This window comes from Homo sapiens, chromosome 1 (assembly GCF_000001405.40).
Source record: "Homo sapiens chromosome 1, GRCh38.p14 Primary Assembly".
In the NCBI taxonomy this organism is placed as follows: Eukaryota; Metazoa; Chordata; class Mammalia; order Primates; family Hominidae; genus Homo; species Homo sapiens.
The window spans coordinates 204,636,671-204,648,961 of record NC_000001.11 but is presented as its reverse complement, the minus strand read 5'-3'; the positions used below and the strand labels follow the sequence as shown (position 1 = coordinate 204,648,961).

General features: G+C 48.0%; 1 protein-coding gene across 2 annotated transcripts in view, besides 3 other annotated features; it reads left to right on the top strand.

Moving 5' to 3' along the window:
• Positions 1–12,291, top strand: part of LRRN2 (leucine rich repeat neuronal 2) — a 68,569-nt gene that overhangs the window by 36,777 nt on the left and 19,501 nt on the right. The window lies entirely within an intron of this gene.
• Positions 792–1,462: an enhancer, noted in NCBI's record as "H3K27ac hESC enhancer chr1:204616628-204617298 (GRCh37/hg19 assembly coordinates)". NCBI's record gives its function as "activates a minimal SCP1, AML or CMV promoter by ChIP-STARR-seq in primed H9 embryonic stem cells {active_cell/tissue: H9 hESC(primed)}" and the evidence as "EXISTENCE:reporter gene assay evidence [ECO:0000049][PMID:30033119]".
• Positions 10,909–11,445: an enhancer, noted in NCBI's record as "H3K4me1 hESC enhancer chr1:204606645-204607181 (GRCh37/hg19 assembly coordinates)". NCBI's record gives its function as "activates a minimal SCP1, AML or CMV promoter by ChIP-STARR-seq in naive H9 embryonic stem cells {active_cell/tissue: H9 hESC(naive)}" and the evidence as "EXISTENCE:reporter gene assay evidence [ECO:0000049][PMID:30033119]".
• Positions 11,446–11,983: an enhancer, noted in NCBI's record as "H3K4me1 hESC enhancer chr1:204606107-204606644 (GRCh37/hg19 assembly coordinates)". NCBI's record gives its function as "activates a minimal SCP1, AML or CMV promoter by ChIP-STARR-seq in naive H9 embryonic stem cells {active_cell/tissue: H9 hESC(naive)}" and the evidence as "EXISTENCE:reporter gene assay evidence [ECO:0000049][PMID:30033119]".

Sequence of the window (12,291 nt, the reverse complement as noted above, 5' to 3'; positions counted from 1 at the left end):
CGCAGCTGCCTCTCCCTCCATGTGCCAGTGGAGGCAGCTCGGCTAGTGGAAAGGCCTCTGTTCTGGTCAGGAGCCATCTCTGTCTGGGCCTGCCACCACCACTGGGTAATCTCAGTTAGCTGTAAAGTGGGGAAGGTCACCACCTTAAGGGTTGGGGGCTGTGGTCTGAACAGCTCCACATTTCAAAACCACTAGACTGTGTGGTCCTGGAGGGCAGGGATGGGTCTTATTTATTTCTGTATCCCTAGCTCATGGCCTGGTTCTCAGCACACAGCTGCAGAGTATAAATGGATGAATGAATCAAACCAACCTAACCAAAAAGTAGGTTGGGTGGGGGGGCGAGGCTAGAAGACCAACTGTGTGGTAACAAGTCCATGCAGGTGAAGCCTCCCTTGAATAAAACTCTCAGGGCCATACAAGAGGACCTCATTGTTGGTATGCAGCGGTTGCTTCTTGGATACCATCCCTCAATTCAGTGGACATACGAACTGGAGGTGCTGCGGGGGAAGCAGTGGAAAGCACATGGAAGGAATTTCCTGGCTCTGGGCCTATTTTCTTGGGGTCCCTGGATTGGATTCTCTTTCAGGCTTCTTCCAACTCTTGACATGCTGGGATTTGGCATTGAGATGTACCCAGTAGTGAGGGCAGCCTTGGGAGAGGTTACAGCTTCTTCTGCACCCTGCCCAGGCCCTCTCTCACTGTGGGAAGGTGCAGTTGGCTGCACCTCTCTGACATTTTCCTCTTCACATTTTCCCCACTGTCTGTTTCCACACATGCTGCCAACCCCAGCCCATCCTGTTCCAACCCTGTGCTCTTTCCCTATGGTTTGGCCCATCTTGTCTTCAGTGGCTGTAGCTGGGCTCACCTTCCAAGTGTCCCTGAGTAAGTGGTGGAGGTGGGATTTGAACCTAAGTCTTTCTAATCCACAGTCTGTCAGAATATAGAAATGTATGTTCAATAGAAATATAATGCAAGCTGCATTAAAAAGGCAAAAAGAAACAGGTGAAGTTAATAACATATTCACCCAATATAGCAAAAATATTTCAAAATGCAATCAATAACAAATTCATGAATGAGATGTTTCACATTCTTTTTTCATATTAAATCTTTGAAAGCTGGTGTACATTTACATGTCCAGCACATCTCCATTTGGACTGGCCACATTGCAAATACCCAGTGGCCTCATGTGGGGCTGCCACCTTGGACAGCTCTGGTCTTTGTTCTTGATACTGCTCCTTCCTGCTGAGTCATAGAGTGACTCCGCATAAAAATCAGAGCCGTCCATCTGGGCTTTGCTTCTCTTTCACTTCCTACTGCTCTCAGGGACCAGCCCTTCTCCTTTGGGCTCTTTTGGAGTTGGTGCTCTCTCCCCTTCCCTCTTACCTTCTTACCTGCCCATCCTCCACCTCCTCTCCCCTCACTCCCTCTCTCCCTTTCCTTGTTGTCAGACAAGAAACCTTTAAATAGGTGAGACAAAGGTGACAAATGTTCCTCATTTACATTCAAGTTCTATCTGCTTTTTTGGCCCTGTTGAATGGCACCTCTATCAAAATATCTCATTTGGAAATGTCAGAGTGGCTTTTGATAAGTCATCAGTCACTCTGATGGTAGTAGCTGACAGATGTGGGTAACAGTGTGGTGGTATCTAATATACTGTGGAATGCATCTTTTGCAATTGTGTGGTATTTTATTTATTCAATGTGGCATGAAATCTCTATTGAAGGAAAGAAACTATTAACCCTGCCAGACCAGTCTCTTTAAGGCCTTCTTTTCTCCTTAACTTTCTAGCCTTTTTTTTTTTTTTTTAACCTCCTTGCTTCCTTTCCTGGAATCAGAATCTTGCAATCCCAGTCACTGCAGGCCAAGTTCTTGGGCACCCCCTTGCCTATTGCAGCAAAAGTCAAGCCAGCCACACTCGTGGAGGCTCTGCCATCCCTACAAGAAGTGGGTAAAAGCTTCTGGGTTGAGACGGAACCCTGGCTTGGAATCCAGTTGCTCTTTCCCCATGGCTGGGCTCATCTTGTCTTTGGTGGCTGTAGCTGGGCTCACCTGCCAAGTGTCCTTGAGCAAGTGGTGGAGGTGGGATTTGAACCTAAGTCTTTCTAATCCACAGTCTATGTTAGAATATAGAGATATATGTCCAATAGAAATATAATGCAAGCCCTATTAAAGAGGTCAAAAGAAACAGGTGAAATTAGTAACATATTAACCCAATATATCAAAAACATTATTTCAAAATGCAATCAATAACAAATTCATGAATGAGATATTTCACATTCTTTTTTCATATTGAATCTTTGAAAGCTGGTGGACATTGACTTGTCCAGCACATCTCAGTTTGGACTGGCCCATGAATCTTGCCTGAGTCCCAGCTCCCAGGTTCTCATGAAGGGAGAAAATCTAGCCTTGGCAGCCATTGTTCCCCGGATGTAACTTCTCCCTCCTCCCTGCCAGCTCCCCCAGCTCTCCCAGAGTCTGCCACTGTAGCTGCCATCCCTGAGGGGCTGCACTGCTCCTGGGTTGTAGTAACCCAGGTGCCTACTATCCCTGTTTCCCCATAATTTCAACTCAAACAAGAGTAGTTTTTTTGAAAAGAACGTTCACTAAAAACTAAACGAAAAATAACACACACACGCACACAGCCTACCCCAAGAAAGCATGGAAATAAATCCCAAGTTTTGTCAGGTCAAGTATTTCTGATCTAAAATACAGGCAGTCAGGTCCCTAATGAGATGGGCTGGTTCAGTCCAGGCAGCCTGGTCCACGCCCCTTCTCCCATTTCACCTGTGTCTGGAGTCCCCCCTCCCCATCTTTTCTCACCATGGAGGTCTTCCTCCCCTGCCACCACTTTTTCCTCCGGTCCCCCTCCCATTTTTTGGGGGTTGAGACTTTGGCCAGGTATTGCAAGTAGCCAAGCATGGTGGGATGACAGGTCTCTAAAGGCCCTGGGTTGTTACTGAGAGAAATCACTGTGCTAACATAGTGATATGGTTTGGCTCTCTCTCCCCACCCAAATATCACCTTGAATTGTAATCCCTATAATCCCCACATGTCAAGGGTGGGACCAAGTGGTGGTAATTGAATCATGGGCGTGGTTTCCCCCATGCCCTTCTCATGATAATAAATCTCATGAGATCTGATGGTTTTTATAAGCACCTGGCATTTCCCCTGCTTGCACTCACTCCGTCCTGCCGCCCTGTGAAGAAGGTTCTTGCTTTTCCTTCTGCCATGATTGTAAGTTTCCTGAGGCCTCCCCAGCCATGCAGAACTGTGAGTCAATTAAACCTCTTTTCTTTTCAGATTACCCAGTCTTGGGTATTTCTTCATAGCAGTGTGAGAATGGACTAATACACAGCCATTCTGAAGTTTCCTTATCAGTACATGGAGATGGTAATACCTGCCTCAGAGAGTTGCCATGATGATTCCGCATGCAATCACACATATGAGAAAGTGCCTTGTCGACCTAAACCCTACTGTGAAATCATTCTTTTACCCATGTCCAGACACGATGGAGGAAAGGCTGCCCAGTGCCACCTTAGCAACTGACCCAGCCCATTCTCCACCCATTCTTTAAGGAGAGATGCCAACACACACACAAGTTTTAGCATGAGCCTTTCCCTGTTCCTGTTTCCTTGGGGTGCTGTTTGTGATTTCTGCAGAAGGCAGCATCTTATAAAGAAAAGAACTGTTACTCTAGGGCCAGACCAACCTGGCTCCAATTTTAGCTCAGTGCAACTTATTGTATGCCTCTGGGCAAATAAGCCGCCTCAGTTTCCCCATCTGTATAATGATTTAAGTATACCAGTCACACAAGAGTTGGACCTATGACACTGTCAATGCTCATGACTGTGAATTCCCTTCTTCATCCCCACCCCATCCTCACCCTCTCCCTCTCTGTGCAGGTGTAAGGTGGAGAAAGTACTAGATAGCTGGCGAAAGCCCTCTGCCCTGCCCTGTGGCTTGGAGTAGATAGGTGTGGAATCCAGATGGGATGAGCCTATCAGTCCTCTAACCATCAACCTCCCACATACCTAGTCTACACACAGGCCTGCTCCAGCAGGACCCAAGCTAGCTACCCTTGGGGAGGGACTGCTACCTTTACAGGAAGCTTCTATTAAGAGGGTCCCACTGCTAGCCCTGGGAACCATGTTGTTTATTCTTTTACCCCAAGCTGCATTTATTGAGCACTGACCATGTGCAGACCCTATGCCAAGTGAGGGGATGCTAGGGATGAGGGAGGCCCAGCCAGCCCCTGCTCTTGAGAAGCTCAGTCTGGGGAGGCAGATGGACTTGCCATGGCTCATGCTAAACTAGGGTAGGTGTTGTGGGAGCAAGAGGAGAGAAGGAAGGTGTCACAAAGGAGATGACAACTGAGCTGGCACTTGGAGGATAATTATGAGCTCCCTAATAAGAGAATGGAAAGACATTCCAGAACAACAGGTTCAAAGACCTGAAATCACAAAAGAGAACAGCCAGCTCCTGTCCAGGGCAGGGGAAAAAGAAGAGGAGGAGAGGATCTGAAGAGGTGGGCAGGCATGGGGCTGTCGGGGGAGCTGCTAGGCCAGCCAAGGGGTCTACCCTTTGAGAAAGGAGAGAAAGTGACCTCCCCCATCACCAGGACAGAAAGGGAGGGAGGCTGCATGGTACAGATGGAAAGCCCAGATGGCAACTGTGGAATGTCAGGGAAGAGCACTGTAAGGAGAGCTTCATGGAGGAGAAGGGGCCAGGTGTGAGGATTTGGTAGAATGTGGTCAACAGTGTAGGGGAAATGTGGCTTCTGACCACCACTCCCATTTTACTAAGCAGCTGTTCCCCCCAGGACCTCCTTTTCTCTGATATTGCAGTGGTACAGCAGATGGGTAGAGGCATGCATGTCCCTGCCCATGCCTGCTGGGAAAGGGAACCCATTTATTGAGTGCCTGTTGCATGCTAGATACTATGTCAGATTCTCTGCCAGCATATCACATTTAATCCTCATGATAACTCTGTCATATATTATTCTCATTTTACAATATGGAAGTTGACACTCAGAGAGGTTCAGTAATTTGTTCAAGGTCACACTGGTGGGAAGAGGCCAGGGCAGGATTTGAACTCAGGTCTTTCACATTCTAAAGGCTTTGTTCTTTCCACTTTGTGGTGCCGAGCATTTGGTTCCCAGCTTCCTGAGGCTGATCTTCCTCTAGCCCCTGGGTTTCTGGAGGAATTTATATGACATTGTTGCTGCCTTCATCATTAGAAGGCTGTCACCAGGGTGACAGGGAACAGTAGATATGGAGCTGTCACAATGGGAAAAATGAGGCGATGAGGAAGGCACTCCATCACCGCCTCTGGATTAGAGGCGGCCACAGCTCTGCCTGGCACACACTCCCTGTCATGATTCTGTTTCGGCTGCACCCCAACCTCATCCTCGCCCCCTCTTCAAATGGGTGGAATCCAGGCCTCAAAATCCACCTTGAATTCCAAAATATGCAGTCATCTTCGTGGAAAGGGGCCAACCCACCATCTTCAGAACCAAGCAAGGACTAGAACAGCACTTAACGTTTTGGGAGGCCACAGACCCCTCTCAAAAGTTGATAAAAGCTATGGACCTTCTTGCCGGAAAAATGCACCTGTGCTCACATTCACAAACAAACATGTTTGCATGCAATTTCAGATAATTCCCAGACTCTGCAGTCCAACTGAGGACTTCAGATTAAGAAGGCTTTCTCTCTGGAGATGCTGGGGGAACACATTTATAAAATACATAGTTTCTGACGATGTCTCCTTTTCTGACCCCTTCTCTGTTCGTAAGCTCCTGGAGAAAACAAAGGAAATAAATGTAACTCAGATGAAGTAATTGTTTTAGAAGAGTGTGTTGGCAACCCCATGTGTGGGGAGGTTGAAGCACTGACCAAAGTGAGAGCTTTGGGTTATCTGTCTGTTTAAATCACTCAGGGTTCTTCATGTCCGTCATGGTGTGGGTGGGCTGCCCGACAATCAGGATTTGACTCCATGTCCGAAAAACAGTCTATCAGGCTCTGAGCCCCTCAGGATGCTGGCTTGTGAAACACTTAGGTGCTGCACCTTCCAGGGGATGGGCTGGAAAATGCTTTGTAGAAGAGCCCGTTGCTGCAAGACCCTGATGTCCTCCTCCCTCTCACCCTCAGCTACCTCTGCAGGTTCATGTTCCTCCCTGGCAGGAAGCACGTGTGCTCTTAATAGAGCTGCCTAATCACTTGTTTAAACTAGACATTGTGTGGGTAATGACTTCTGGCTGGGACCAGAGAAAGCCATCAGCTATCCCGTGTAGGGATGAGTCCTGCCGGACATGGTCCCTGCTGGCTGCAGAGGCCGGGGCAGTTCTTCCTGAGGCAGAGCCAGCTGTGTGGTGGAGCATAGAGGGTGGATTGGGGACTGTTTGAAAGTTTGGCAAAGAGAGCTGGCACCTTTTTGCCTACCCTGCTACTCCTGGGCACAGGATGAACCCAAATGTGAGGGCTGATGGGAGCGCAGAGCCGGGAGGCAGGCTGCCTGGGGTCATTTCACCCCTCTGCCAGTGGCATTCAAAGAGTAGCTCCTGGCACAGGTCAGTCCCATGTACACCTGCACCTGTCTCCAAGCTGGAGAAGACAGAAAATCTGGCAACACCTAAGGCTTCCCAGTCCCAGGGATGTGACTATAAAGCCAGTAGATTCGCTGTTTGCCCAGAGTTTTGAGGTCTGGGGAGAGAGGTGCTAGAGAAATGTCAGTTACAGCCATGTTAATTATTATTATTTTTATCATTATTACAGGAGAGAATGTTCCCCCTGTTAATTCCCTGGGAAAATGGCTGTGAAAATGAGCTGGCACCATCTGGGCCTTGTGCCCAGGAGAGCAAGAGCACTGGCTAATACAGCCTCCAAATCTGCTCCCCTCCAAGCTGCTTTACCTGGTCCGCCACTGCACCCTCTGCCTGCCACCTCCCCTAACACACACATGCACTCACGTGCACAGATACACAACACACACACTCTTCCACACCTGCAGCCCTGGCTGCAGAGAGGAGGGTGCATAGCTCCTGCAGCATTGGAGAGTGGGTTTGGCCCTTGTTCTTACCTCACTGGGAGAAAACCAGCTGAGCTATAGTAGAGCCATGTGAAGGGGTGGGGGAAGACCCCTGCTTTAGTTGTTCTGGAGTTTTGCACTTACAAACACTTTCAAATGCAACATCCCATAGGCTCTCTCACAGCCAGGTAGTTGGTGTGGTGGTGAAAAGTGACAGCTTCAGCATCACACAGAGCTAGACTTACATTGTGGCTTTTGTTAATACATGTACTAGCTGTGTGACCTCAGATCAGTTGCTTAACTTCTCTGAGCCTCCATTTCACCATCAGTAAATATAATACTACTCTCGTAGGGTTGTTGTGTGGATTAAAATTTTTTTAAAGCTTTGTGAAAGGCCCAACACATAGTTAACATTCAATAAGTGGTGCCTATTAAAATTCAAGGCAGATATTTTTATCCCCATTTCATAGATGAAAAGAAACTGGGGTCAGTGAGGTTGTCCTATAGCTGGTGTCAACCTAAACAATGAACAGAGAGGCTCTCTAAAAGAAAAAGATACTTATTTTGGAATAGAGCATTGCACTGGGAATCCGCATGCCATAGTAAACTACATGTGTGTATTCAGGAAGGTAAAAGAAGACAAAGATTTTTAAAAGAAAAGATGAGGAGGATTACATAATTGTTTTGAAATAATTATCCTAGGCTACAAAGATCAATAACAAGGGTGATACCAGTCTGAGGTTGGATAGCCAGCTGTGGACAGATGTCCTTGCAGAAATATTTTTTGTGTAAGGTTTCAATGGTCTTTGTGCAAGATTGTGGTTTTTGCAATCTTTTTGATAGTTTTTGTTATCAGGCATCCAGGCATGAGAACCCTCTCTTCATGGCCTTCCCTGGCTCTATTTGTCAGGATGTTTTTTGTTTTTTTTTTTTCTTTTTTAACCCTGGTAAGTGCTAGAGCTGTTATTAGAACTCCTGGATTTAGATCCACATTAACTCTCTTAATGCCAAACCCTCAAATGCTGCTGTTTTCCTGGGAGACTTGGGCGGTAATGATGTGGAACTGTGTGGTCTTGAGTTAGCCTTTTTGCTTCCCCTGCAACCAGCTCTGTCCTCCCTAGCCTGCCCCACACACATGACCATCCATCTGGGGGCTTCTGAAGGTGTCACCTAGTGGCCGCAGCTGTTGCTCAGTCTCTGCCAGTGGGACAAGGGAGTAGAGATGAGTAGAGGAGATCCCAGAACCTCATGGAAACCTCAGGGCCTCATGGGGTGAGAAAAGATGGTGAGGGATGGAAAGCAAGCATGGGGAAGGGGTAGAGAAGAGACAGGAGAGTCAAGAAAAGAGGTGGGGAAGGGAGAGAGGAGCCAGGCCTCACCGTCTCCTCGGAAGGAGCTGCACAGCCTGTTCTACAGGCTCCGTTTGCTACAGCCCCTGAACGCCCTTCCAGGAGGGGGAGAAGTCCCACTTTCAGAAAACTGTTTCTTCTATCTGATAATAATAACGCATCCTTGTTTGGTGGCCTCTATGGTCTGAATGTTTGTGTCTCCCCAAAGTTTCTGTGTTGAATCTTAACCCCTCAGTGTGATGATGTTACAGGGCAGGGCCTTTGGGAGGTGGGTTCATGAGGGTGGAGCCCACCTGAGTGGGATTAATGTCCTTATAAAAGAGACCCCAGAGAGCTCCCTCTCCCTTCCTGCCATGTGAGGACACAGTGAGAAGATGGCCCTCCATCCATCAACCAGGAAGCGGGCCTTCACCAGACACCAAATCTGCCAGCTCCTTGATCTTGGACTTCCCAGCCTCCAGAACCGTGAACAATAAATTTCTGTTGTTTATAAGCTACCTGGTTTATAATATTTTGTTATAGCTGCCCAAATGGACTAAGACCATGGCAAATCCAGCTATTTAATGTACTTTTCAAATATGAAGTGATTGTGAATTTATGGTATATGAATTATATTTCAAAGCTGTTGTTAATATATATAATTATATAATATATACACATGTGTATGTATGTGTGTAACATCATAATATGATTTGTTAAGAGCATGGATTCTTGCTTCTTACCAGCTGTATGATCTTGGGCAGGAGGCTTAACTTCTTTTAACCTCAGTTTTCTCATCTGCACAATGGGGATAATAATATAATAGAGTTTTATGAGGATTAAAAGAGATAGTGAATGGCAAGTGCCTGGCAGAGAGTAAGCCCTTAATGAAATTAGCTAATTGTATTGCATCTATTTTAGCTATACAAGGCATATGTCATTACTAAATTATATTTATTTATTTACTTACTTTAGAGACAGTGCCTTCTGTCACCCAAGCTTGGAGTGCGATGGTGCATTCTTAGCTCACTATAGCCTCACCTCCTGGGCTCAAGCAATCCTCCTGCCTTAGCCTCTCAAGTAGCTTGGACTACAAGTGTGCACCACCACAACAGGCTAATGTTTTTAAAAAGAGTTGTTATAGAGACGGGGGTCTCACTTGTTGCCCAGGCTGGTCTTGAACTCCTGGCCTCAAGTGATCCTCCCAACTGGGCCTCCCGAAGTGCTGGGATTACAGGCATGAGCCACCATGCCCGGCTATTACTCCCATTTTAGAATTGAGGAAACTGAGCCCAGGAGGATGTTTCTCTGTACATGTCTGGAGGGCAGCACCTTGTCTTATTCATCTCTGTGATCCTGTACACAGGATTGGGCTCAATGAATCTTTGTAGAGTAAAAGACGTGTCACCCCTTGCTCAGTGGGGACCTGGCACTGGAATGCACAGCTCTGGGCTGCTAAGCCTGGGTTCTCTCCATCAAGCCAGGCTGACCAGCTAGGGAGGTTGAGAGAGCCCTTATGGCCCAGGAGCCTCCTAGAGGCCTATCGCCCTCTCCAGAGCTACCCAGGGGGCCGTGCCACCACTTGCTCACAGGGGAAAGACTTTCAAAGGTGGGAGCTGAGGCTGCCCTGCCAGGCGATGGCCATCTCAGGGCAGGGTCATTCAGCAGGCTCACGGAGCCCCCAAAACCCTTCCCCAGCCTGGGAGCAGGAGCCTGGGGGTGGCGTCCCACTAGCCAGGCAGATGAACAGCTTCTTTGGTCTGGGATTTCACTGAAAGCCCTGAAGCCCTGAGCCCTGCTTCACTTGGCACAGATTAGGCATCATGGGGCCCTAAAGATCTCCACATGGCCTCTTGGCAAGTCTAGGATTGCTTCCTCGCTATGTACTACTTAGAAGACCTGGCCGGGCGCGGTGGCTCACGCCTGTAATCCCAGCACTTTGGGAGGCCGAGGTGGGTGGATCACGAGGTCAGGAGTTCAAGACCAGCCTGGCCAAGATGGTGAAACCCCATCTCTACTAAAAATACAAAAAATTAGCCGGGTGTGGTGGCACATGCCTGTAATCTCAGCTACTCCGGAGGCTGAGGCAGAGAATTGCTTAAACCTAGAGGGCGGAGGTTGCAGTGAACCGAGATCGCACCACTGCACTCCAGCCTGGGCGACAGAGCGAGACTCCGTCTCAAAAAAAAAAAAAAAAAAAAAAAAAAAGGAAGACCTTGGGCAAGTTACTTCACATCTGTAAGCCTCAGTTTCCTTGCCTGTAAAATAAGGGTGCCAGTAGTTCTGACTCCAACGGTGCGGGGGGATTCAATGAAATGGTGCACAAAATCACAGAGCCGAGTCCTGTTGTGAACACTAAAGCAGGTCGGAGGCCTGGCCCCAGATCACCATGACAGCGCTCTGGCTCTGCGAACAGTAGTGCGTGAGATCAGTGCTGGTGATTATATTCCCCAGGCCTCTGCCTGCAGGCCTCATGCCAAGGCCTGATGTTCGGGGCGGGGGGTGGGTGGGTGAGAGCAGGCAATCACTGTTGGGGTCCCCCTACGCTCAGTGAATGCTTTCACGAGGCGGGAGGGAGACCAGAAGAAAAGCAAGGAAAGGAAAAGAAAACCCTAGTACATTCTCCTCTGTCCTCCCCCAGCTCCGCAGCTCCTGGGGGAATTGAGCTGCATAATACAATGGGATTTAATAAAATGCCTTTAACTCACAAAGTTTGTCTGCTGCCAGCTCCTTAATTAAATTGCCTAATGCTGCTTTGCGATGGGAGCACAAACTCCTGTGTTTAAAGAGCACGGTGTTGCCATGGCACTCCCCCACAGGGTGAGCAGGGTGTGGAGGAGCATACAGATGAGGCCCGGGGGTCGGGGCCTTCCCGCAGAGGAGTCCTCTCTACCACCCTCTCAGCGACTGCCCCCAAACACACACACACACACACACACACACACACACACACACACACACACACGTCACGTGCTGCAATAGGCAGACTCTGGTCTGGGAAAGGATTTAATCCTTGCTAAGAATGCTGAGCTGTGGTTTAGAACTGGGAGACTCAGGGGCATCTGCACAGAGCAGAGCTGGTCAGCTGGTCTGGCTGTGGACAGTGGACTCCAGGCACAGCCCTTGGCACTCAGGGCAGCCCTGTGGGGCCTGGGGCAACCAAGCGTCTCCCTGAGCCGCTCCCTCTGGCTGCCAGCAGCCACCACCCTCTCCCCTGGTGCACTGTACAAATACACTCATCTATATGTGCCCTGGCTTGAGAAGGGCTGGGAAGCATTGGGCTAGAAAGCATTGGGCTAGATCTGATTGGTTTGATGAGAAAGTAGGGATGTTCTTTCACATGTGGACGGCAGAGGAAAGAAGCTCATTTGCTTTATGGATTTTTCCTTCAGAAGTAATAGTTCTCAGTCCTGGCTTCACATTCAAACCATTTGGGGATTTTCCCCCCAATACTTTATTATGAAAAATTCCAACATACCGCACAGTAAAGGGAATTTTACAGTGAGCAATCATCTACCCACCACCTAGACTCTACCATTAACCTTATTATTAGACTTGCCTTATCACCTCTCTCTCCAACTATCCATTCCTCTATCTATCAATCCATCTTAATTTTGGTGCATTTCAAAGCAAATTGCAGACATCAGTACACTTTTCCCTAAATATTTCAGTATCAACAGCTATGGGGTTCAATTTTTGCTTACAATGTTTTTCTTTTGACATAAAATTTACAAAGAAATCCTGGGAAGTTTTTTTTAACACCGTGTGTGGACCCTACTCAGAGATTGATTTAATTGGTCTAGAGTGGGAGGTAGGCATCAATATATTTTATTTTATTTATTCTAAAAGACAGAGTCACCCTCTGTCTCCCAGGCTGGAGTGCAGTCATGCGATCATGGCTTACTGCAGCCTTGACCTCCTGGGCTCAAGGGATCCTCCT